The sequence below is a fragment of the Homo sapiens genome, chromosome 19 (genome assembly GCF_000001405.40).
Source record: "Homo sapiens chromosome 19, GRCh38.p14 Primary Assembly".
In the NCBI taxonomy this organism is placed as follows: Eukaryota; Metazoa; Chordata; class Mammalia; order Primates; family Hominidae; genus Homo; species Homo sapiens.
In genome coordinates, this window is record NC_000019.10 from 3,767,758 (window position 1) to 3,776,907 (window position 9,150).

A 9,150-nucleotide genomic window follows, 5' to 3' on the forward strand; every position below is an offset into this window, starting at 1 on the left:
TGCTGGGTGAGGGGGTTGTCCTAGCTAAGCCACTCTTGGTTGCAAGGGACTCAAACCTAACTATCTCAAGCCATCAGAGTCAGAAAAGAGGCTTTATGAGCTTCAAGAAAGGAGATGTCCGGAGCGGGTAGTGGTGTGGCTTTAGGTGTGGCTGGATCCAGGTGCTTCGGTATTCAGACCCAAGGCTCTCTCCATCTCAGGGTCCTTGGATCCCCCAGGGGCTGGCACTCATGGGCAGGGTAGCCCGAGGGCTCCTGGCCGACGTCCCCACCAGCGCAGCAAGTAGAATCAGAGGGAAGGGACTGCCCCTTCCTTCCTGCTGCAGTCACAGCGTGGTCCTCACTGGCCTATCCCTGGAGCCCAGGGGCTTGGGCCTTCCTTCCCCACCCCCAAGTCCTCTGTCCACTCCACTGGAGCCCAGGTCTCAACCTCCGCCCCCAGTCCACCCTCTGGAGTCGGCTTTCGGCACCCTGACCCTGACCCAGGGTCTGACCCTAGGCCTGAGTGAGGACTGGCCTCCCTGCAGTCCCAACAACTCCTGCCCTGCCTGGCTGTGATGGGGCGGGATCACGAGGGCTGGAGTCCACCAGATTAGAGGAGGCTGAGGGTGACACGTAGTTAGGGAGTGATGGGGCCTCTTGCTGGGGGTAGATCACCTCATGGACCCCACGTCCTGCAGAACCCCCAAGGGTCATGCCCTCGGCCCCACCCTTGCCACAGCAGCCCCACCCATGCCTAGGTGGGTGCCCTGGGGGATTTGGACTGGGCTCACCCACCCTCCGGCTTCCTCTGTCCACAAGCTGGATGGGCGGGGCGGGGCCCGTCTCAGGGAAACCCTAACCTTCATCCTCTTAGGGGACTCTGGAGTGGAGGGGATTACTGCGCACCTGCTGTCCCCGGCGGCCTCCCTGGGCAGGCGGGGGTGTGAGCGCGCCTTCTCTCGCGCTCACTGCAGGTGGTGCCAGCCGTTCCCACCCTCCTGTTGTTCCCCAAGGTTCTGAGGGTAAAAATCAAAGTTATAACAGCCACTGGCCCTGCCTGGCCTCCCCATCACCTCCCTCCTCCCCCTCCTCACTCTGCTCCAGCCGCATGGGCCTCCTCGCTATTCTTTCAATGCACGAGGCGTGGTCCTGCCCCAGGGCCTTTGCACAGCCTGTGCCTCTGCCCAGCTCCCTCCTTCCCTAGACCTTCTCCCTCCCGCCCCCGGTCTCTACCTTCACGCCAGCCTCCCCTCCTCCAGAACTCCCTATTAAAATTGCAGCCCCTGCCACACTCCACATCTGACTTTCCTGGTTTTTTTTTCTCCCTATCACTTATCACTGTCTGAAGTCTTTTGTTTTAGATTTGTTTTTTATTTGTATTGAGTCAGGGTCTGGCTCTGTTGCACAGGCTGGAGTGCAGCAGTGTGATCACAGCTCCCTGCAGCCTCGACCTTCTGGGCTCAAGTGATCCTCTTGCCTCAGCTTCTTGGGTAGCTGGGATGACAGGTGTGCACCAGTACACCCGGCACATTTTAAAAACGTTTGTGGAGATGGGGTCTTGCTGTGTCACCCAGGCTGGTCTCAAGCAATCCTCCCACCTCAGCCTCCCAAAGCACTGGGATTACAGGCATGAGCCACCGCACCTGGCCTGGTTTAGCTTTAAAAAAAAAAATCTTTCTTGTGCTTACTGCCGTGTCCCCACTGCCTGGTGTGCGGTGACATTGGGTGATGGCGGGGCGTTGGACCACAGGACTGGTGTGTGAGGTGCCGCCTAGAGATGGGGTGACCTGGTGATCTGGGAGTGATCTGGGGAGCCCAGGCTGGAGACGGGGAGGGTAGCTACTGCAGCTCCTGCCCTGGTGCCGCACTTCTGTCCCGGGAGGTGGCGCTGGCCCAGACTGTCCCATCCCATGCCTCAGGGCCCCCTCCTGCTGCACTGGGCCAGCCGTGCTTGCCAGTCCCAGCGGGTTCTCGGCCCCGCGACAGCCTCCTTGCTCAGAGCTCTTGGGCGATGCGGCTGGGTTGGACAGAGCAGATGCTGGCCATGCCTCCACTGGGGACATGCACAGGGCCTGGGGTCTGTGGGGACGTGAGGAACGGTCTGACGATGACGACACACCCAGCATCAGCCCGCCTCCACCTGGAGGCCCACCAGCACCTGGCCCGGGACCCACCCTCTCTCCAGAACCTGTCGCTGTGCCCCGGACGGTAGGACCGGTGATGGGTCTGAAAGGCAGCTCCATCCACTCCTGGCCGTGCGACTTTGGGGACCTGGCTTCCTGCCTAAGCCCCGGTTTCCCTCTCTATAGAATGGGCTGACAGCTGTGCCCGAGGTCCAGGGCACAACGGAGAGGGGAGTGCTCACATGGCGAGCACACGGTGAGAGGAGACCAGGCTCGCGGGAGCTGCTGCTATTTGTTATTTCCAGGGGACTGGGAGCCTGGAGAGTGGGCAGCTCTGCTGATGGGGATTAGGAGAAGCAGAGAGATTTACACTCATCTTACAGAGTCAGCGGTCCCGCCACCCACAGCCTCGCAGCCCTCGAACCTCGGAGGCCCCCACGCCCAATTAACAGACAGGAGACTGAGGCCCCAGGAGGGGAGGAGGTCCCCGCACCTGGCCTGAGAATACTTGGGTCACCTCCTGCCTGACACTGGGGGCCAGTCCGCTGCCAGCAGGACGGGTGGCGATGGGGTGGGAGACGGGATGGGGGCAGGGAACCCAGCAGCCTGTCTCTCTGGTCCCGCTCCCCAGTGGTGGTGGCCTGGCCTGACCACGGTTGCTCCATGACCTCGGCCTAGGCCAAGGCGTGGTGGCTGTCACCAGGGCACGTCCCCGGTTCTCGGGTTGGGCCGAGGAGGGGGCCCGGGAGGGCGGCAGGCTCAGGCTGGCGGCCAGGCCCTGTCCAGAGCCTGTGCATGTTCCTTGGCCAGCAGCCGCAGGGACGCCTCCTCCAGGGCGAAGCCATCTGCGAAGGTGGGAGCAAAGGCATGAGGCCCGAAGGACGCTTGCAGCCCCGGGCCCGGGCCCAGGAGGCGGGGGAGGCCTGGCACGGCCGGCGGTCCGGGGCCCAACCAGGGCTCCAGGGGCAGCGACATGGCCGGGGGGCGGGCGAACGGCAGCGCTGGGGCCTCGGGGAGTCTCGGAGCTGCCACGGCACCCGAGCCTGACTCCAGCCGCTCCTGGCGGCGCCACTTGGCCCGGCGGTTCTGGAACCACACCTGGAGGGTGCGAGAGGGAAGGGGGGTTGCTGTGAGCTCAGCCGCTCCCCGCCAATCCTCGGACCCCCTCTGCACACCCCAGCCCTGGGGGTTCTGACTCCCGTCTGACCCGACTCCTACCTGCTGCTTCGCTGTTCTGCCCCAAGAAGATGAGGATCTCCCAAGCGTTCCCTAAGCCCAGGCTCCCCTCCAACTCCTCACTCCCCTCCTTGGCCTCCCTTGGCCCTTAGCAAGTAACCTGAGCTGCCTAACGTGGCATTCAAGGCCTTCAAAAGCGTTGTTACCCACACCATTCTCTGCCTCCTCCTTCACCCCTGGCTCAAGGGAAACGCCTCCAACTTAACCCCTCCATGTCTTTGCACACACTGTTCAGGATGCCTAGAAAAACTCCCCTTTTCCTTCCCAGCTGGCACACTCCTACTCAAATGTCAAAACCTCAGCTCCCACACCCCCTCCTCCAGGAAGCCTTCCTAGCTTCTCTTCTGCTGTTGCTCCGGGAGGGTCAGGATCTTGCTTTGCCTCCCTCCCCAGGTTGCAAAAGATGTGTGTGTTGGGGGGTGCCCTCACCTGCACGCGCACCTCAGGTAGGTGCACCTTGGCTGCCAGCTCCTCACGGCTGTACACATCCGGGTAGTGAGAGGCCTCGAACGCCCGCTCCAGCTGGTGCAGCTGGTAGGTGGTGAAGGTGGTGCGGTTCCTCCGGTGCTTCTTCTTGGGGGCCTCCTCGCCCGGCCCCAGACCCCCACCCTCGGTTGCCGGCCCCTCGCCCGGGCTCAGGAACATGGCTCCCACCTGGTGGGACGGCAGCGGGACAGATGGTGGGGAGACGGCTGGGGGGGCTACCGGCAGGGACAGGGCAGGGGAGCCCCAGGCTTGCCTCCCGGCTCCGGGGAAATCGGTTCCCTCCACTGGGGCCGGCATGCGCTCTGCATCCCCAGGCTGTCCTCCTCGGGCTTGGGGGGGTCTCCTGCTGTGCCTCTGTCTGCTCTTCCTTCTCTCTGTGTGTGTCACCGTCCCTGTTTTCTCTTCCCCTCTCTGTGACTGTCACGGCCTGTGTGTGTGTGTGTCGGCGGGGGGGGGTCAAGGATGCCCCCCCGTCAAGGAAGGCAGGATCCCTTCTCACGCCCTAAGCCCTCCACCCTGAGGGGATCTCTGCCCCCACCACCTCCTACCCAGGCCCACCAGTGCCCACCCCGCACTCACCGCCCACGGCAGCCCCTCCGTCGATTTCCACGGGACACCTGCCCCAGCGGGCCTGGCGCTGCGTCTGCTGTGGCCTGGCCCTGCCGGAGCCGAGCCAGGTCGGGGCTGCGTGGGGGAGGATTAGCTCAAGGTGATTAATTGAGGCGGCCCCTCCCACTTGGTCCTGGGCTGTTCTGAGCCAGGAGGGAGGGCAGGGTGGATGGAGGGCTGGGGCTCTAAGTGGGTGGCTGGGGGGATAGTCTTACAGGCTCCACGGCCCCTTGCCATAAGACGGCAAGGGCCTCTCCCTCTCTGGGCCTCAGTTTCCCTGGCTGTAAAACTGCCACACTAGGACCTACCCTGGGGGGATTTCAGCTTCTCAGAGCATCGCACAGAAATTGGCATACAGGGGGCACTTAATGAATGCTCACTGTTAATATTTTTATCTGCTGGGGGCAGAAAAAGGTGTCTTAGAACTCACAGATGTCAGAGGCAGTTGGGGAAGCTGAGGTCCAGAGGTGAAGGCACTGCAGTTGGTTCCTCTGGACACAAGGGGTAGGGACCCTTTTAGCTGGGTCTGGAGGTATGAATAGACGTTCACCATTCACAGCCGGGCGCAGTGGCTCACGCCTGTAACCCCAGCACTTTGGGAGGCTGAGGCGGGCGGATCACCTGAGATCATGAGTTTGAGACCAGCCTGGCCAACATGGCAAAACCCTGTCTACTAAAAATACAAAAATTAGCCAGGCGTGGTGGTGGGTGCCTATAACTCCCAGCTACTCGGGAGGCTGAGGCAGGAGAATTGCTTGAACCTGGTGGGGTGGAGCTTGCAGTGAGCCAAGGTCATGCCATTGCACTCCAGCCTGGGCAACAGAGTGAAACTCCATCTCAAAAAAAAAAAAAAACAAAAAACCAAAACCACCACCAACAAAAAAGAAAAACAGAAGTTCACCATTCAATAAACATTTATTGAGCACTTACTGTGTACCAGGTACTGCTCACAGCAGTAGTGACCAAAACAGACAGAAGTCACGGGGCTGACTTTCTAGCAGGGCAGACAGACAACCAACCACTGTGTTAAAATGCAGAGCGTGGCCAGTGGCCACGAGCCTAGGGAGAAAACCCACGGAGGGGGGCCTGTGGGGGCAAGGTGGGTTGATATTTCATTTAGTTTTTGGGTTTTTTTTTGAGACAGAGTCCTACTCTGTCGCCCAGGCTGGAGTGCAGTGGCACGATCTCAGCTCACTGCAACCTCCGCCTCCTGGGTTCAAGCAATTCTCCTGCCTCAGCCTCCTGAGTAGCTGGGATTACAGACACCTGCAACCACGCCTGGCTAATTTTTGTATTTTTTAGTAGAGACACGGTTTCGCCACCTTGGCCAGGCTGGTCTTGAACTCCTGACCTCGTGATCCGCCTGCCTTGGCCTCCCAAAGTGCTGGCATTACAGGTGTGAGCTACCCCGCCTGGCCTATTTTTGTTTTTTTGAGAAGGAGTCTCACTCTGTTGCCTAGGCTGGAGTGCAGTGGTGAGATCTCGGCTCACTGCAACCTCCGCCTCCCAGGTTCAAGTGATTCTCCTGCCTCAGCCTCCTGAGTAGCTCGGATTACAGGTGCGCCACCACGCCCAGCTAATTTTTGTATTTTTACTGAAGATGGGGTTTCACCGTGTTGGCCAGGTTGCTCTTGAACTCCTGACCTCAGGTGATCCACTTGCCTCGGCCTCCCATAGTGCAGGAGTTCCAGGCGTGAGCCACCGCGACCAGTCGGGTTGCTATGTTAAGGAAGGTGGTGAGAATGGAAGATGGAGTGCAAAGCCGCAAGTTCTGGACACATGGGGTGTGAAGGATGGAGTGCTGGGGAACCATGGGAGGTTGTGGAGCAGGGACACAGTGGCATTTTATACAAACATCAATGATGAGCAGCTGAGAAACCAGGGGCAGGTGCCAGGCAGGTGAGGCTACAGGGTCTAGTCAGGCCAAGGGCCGGGGGAGATGGGGAGGACAGAAGGGTGGGGGTAGCAATTCCAGAGGAAGGAAGCTGGAGAGGGGCAGGGTGTGGGTATGGAGGTGCAAGGGCGTTGCCCAGGCCCATTCTGGGCTGTGAGGTGGGACTGTTTCAGAGGCAGAGGCCTGAGAGGTGGAGCGGGCTCCAGGGGAAGCCCCAGAGACGAGTGCCCCCCAAGTCCAAGGAGCCAGGGGGCTCAGGCAGGGGAGTGCCCTAGAGATGGAAAGGAGAGGGTACTCCAGGGACAATGGGAAGGGGAGAGGAGGGGAGGCCTGATTTAGTGACATGGAGGACAGGGGGGAGGTGACTGCGGTGGAGTGAGGGGGAGACCCAGGCCTGTGGATGGGCGAAGGGGCCAGTGCAAAGTGAACTAGAGATCCTTCCAGAATGTTGGCATGTTGGCTTTGAAGGGAGAGACACACAAAGAAAGAGAGACAGAGACAGAGACAGAGAAAGGCGTGACACACACACACACGAGAAACCAGGTGCCCAGGCCCCAGAGTAGTCCCGGTCGGATCCCAGGGGGCAGGTGGCTTCGGCCCAGGATCTGGGTGTAGCTCCCCCATCCCAGGGGCCAAGTTCAGGTGGGCAAGGTGCAGAGGCAAACAGGGGTTCAATCCCTGGCCAGAGGGGTGGCTGCAGCTTCTGAGGCTCCAGGTGCCTCCCCTGGCCTCAGCTGCCCGTCGGCAAGGTGGGCCCACCAGGCTCTGTGTCCAAGGTGGAGCCAGGCCTGTCACCCATCGAGGGACAGGGCTGTGGGCTGGGGAGAGAGAACTCCCCTGATCGCTTCATCACTTTAGAGCACTAACGAGCTGCTTCAGGTCTCAGGCCGCAATTAGCTAATTGGCCAGTGTGGGTTAAGAGGCCCCAGGAAGGATCGTGGCGTGAGGCGCGGCGGGGGGGGCTTTGGGCGACTTAGCCGGACAGGCAGAAGCTGCAGACGCTGTGTCAGCTTAGAGGGCCGGATTAGGAGCGCGGGCTGGGTGGGCAGGGCCAAGGGGACAGGTGGCCCCCTGCAGTGGATTAGGCAGAGGCCAGGCCACTCCGGGCCTTTCCAGCCTCCACCTTTCAATTTTCCCCAAGAAAGAACCACTAACCTGCCTCAGGTGCTGGTGGGGAGAGTGAGGCCCGAGGGTGTGCAGGGCTTTAAGGGGGCCACACAGGAGGTCGGCGTGACCTTGGGACATTTCCGTGTCTCAGCTCAGGCTCTGCTTGGCCAGGATGGGAGGGTGGGCTGGGAGTCCTGGGGTGGGGGCCATACCCAGCCTGGCCAGAGACCCCTCTCCGTGTATCCTAAAGGCTGGCTCCATGGGACTCAGCTGAGAGCAGGTGTTGGACCGTCCCAGCAATAATGGAGCACCAGCTGTATGCCTGCCTTCTAGGTGCCCCTCCCTTCACTGCTCACACCCCTCTGGGAAAAGGTGTCCATTGGCTGGAGGAGGCTGCTGAGGCCCAGAGAGGGTAAAAGCTTTCCCAGTAGGGACCACCTCTCCCCTGTTTGCCCAGGACTTTCCCTGTTTTAGCACTGAAGTCTGACACCCTGGAACAGCCCTCAGCCCTGAGCAAACCAGGGTGGTCACACCAGGGTGGTCACCCCAGGGCCAGCGTCACACAGCTGGGGGGCGAGTCAGGATTGAACCTGTGTGTGCAAAGTGGATCCCCGGCCCGCTGTGCCAGAGAGGACAGGAGGGCCAGTGTTTCCCTGCCATTCTGCCCCCCAGAGTCAATGGGTCAGCCTGCTAGGTCCCTGGACATTTGGACTGCCTCTGTCCAAGGACAGTGTCACCTGAGAGCTGTCACTGCAGAAGCTGTGGTGATACTCAGTGCCCAGAGGGCCAGCACACAGTCAGCCTGAGACAGAGGCCGGGACGCCCATGCTGCACAACTCCCGGGCCAGCTTCTCAGCCAACTTGCAGAAGGGTGCCCAGCGGGCGGGCTCTACCTCCCAGCAGCTGCTCATGAGGACATGCATGGGGCCTGGACAGCCCTTGGGGGCTCCATGTGGTACCCCTTCTCCACAGCCTCTGACACCTCCTTCAGCCTGGCTTTGTTAAGAGGAGAGGTGGATGGATGTGTGAATGGATGGTGGGTGGGTAGGTGGATGGAGGGATGGATGAATGGGTGGGTAGATCAATGGAACAGTGGATGGAGGGATGGATGAATAGAGTGGATGGGTGGGTGAATGAATGGATGGGTACATGGATGGACATGGGAATGGGTGGGGGATGGATGGGTGGGGAGATGGATAGATAAGTGGATGGGTTGGTGGATGGATGCATGCATGGATGGGTGGGGACAGGGGGATGGGTGGGTGGGTGGATGGATGGAAGGATGGATGGATGGATGGATGAAAGGATGGATGGGTATGTGGATGGATGATGGGTAGATAAATGGGTGGACAGATGTGTGAGTGGATGGTAGGTGGATGGATGGATGGGTGGACAGGTGGATGGATGCATGGGTGGACGGATGGATGGATGGATGGATGATTGGGTGGATGGATGGATGAGTGGATGGTGGGTAGGTGGATGAGTGGATGGTGGGTGGATGGATAGGTGGGTGGGTGGATGGATGAGTGGATAGTGGGTAGATGGATGGATGAGTGGATAGTGAGTGGGTGGATGGATGAGTGGATAGTGGGTGGGTGGATGGATGGATGGATGGGTGGATGGATGAGTGGATGGTGATTGGGTGGGTGAATGGATGGGTGGATGGTGATTGGGTGGGTGGATAGATGGGTGGATGGTGATTGGGTGGGTGGAT

At 60.4% G+C, this 9,150-nt stretch overlaps 1 protein-coding gene across 2 annotated transcripts, besides 1 other annotated feature; it reads right to left on the reverse strand.

The window, feature by feature from the left end:
• On the reverse strand, nt 1,332-4,471 carry RAX2 (retina and anterior neural fold homeobox 2). Of its 2 annotated transcripts, none has more exons than NM_032753.4 (3): nt 4,406-4,471; nt 3,770-3,994; nt 1,332-3,202 (listed from the first exon to the last, which is right to left on the reverse strand). In NM_032753.4, exons 2-3 carry the CDS (start codon nt 3,983-3,985, stop codon nt 2,864-2,866), a joined length of 555 nt encoding a protein of 184 aa, NP_116142.1. In that variant the 5' UTR covers nt 3,986-3,994; nt 4,406-4,471; the 3' UTR covers nt 1,332-2,863. The 2 variants fall into 2 exon arrangements, with proteins under 2 accessions (NP_116142.1, NP_001306003.2); NM_001319074.4 differs by having other exon boundaries at nt 3,770-4,253.
• Nucleotides 2,764-3,263: an enhancer, noted in NCBI's record as "H3K4me1 hESC enhancer chr19:3770519-3771018 (GRCh37/hg19 assembly coordinates)". NCBI's record gives its function as "activates a minimal SCP1, AML or CMV promoter by ChIP-STARR-seq in naive H9 embryonic stem cells {active_cell/tissue: H9 hESC(naive)}" and the evidence as "EXISTENCE:reporter gene assay evidence [ECO:0000049][PMID:30033119]".

What these genes read in the sequence shown, in the direction of transcription:
- RAX2 (NM_032753.4), bottom strand. Translation starts at nt 3,985, where the DNA reads ATGTTCCTGAGCCCGGGCGAGGGGCCGGCAACCGAGGGTGGGGGTCTG. An exon ending in TACCTGAGGTGCGCGTGCAG is followed by an intron (nt 3,203 to 3,769) that starts GTGAGGGCACCC and finishes CGCACCCTCCAG; the next exon opens with GTGTGGTTCCAGAACCGCCG.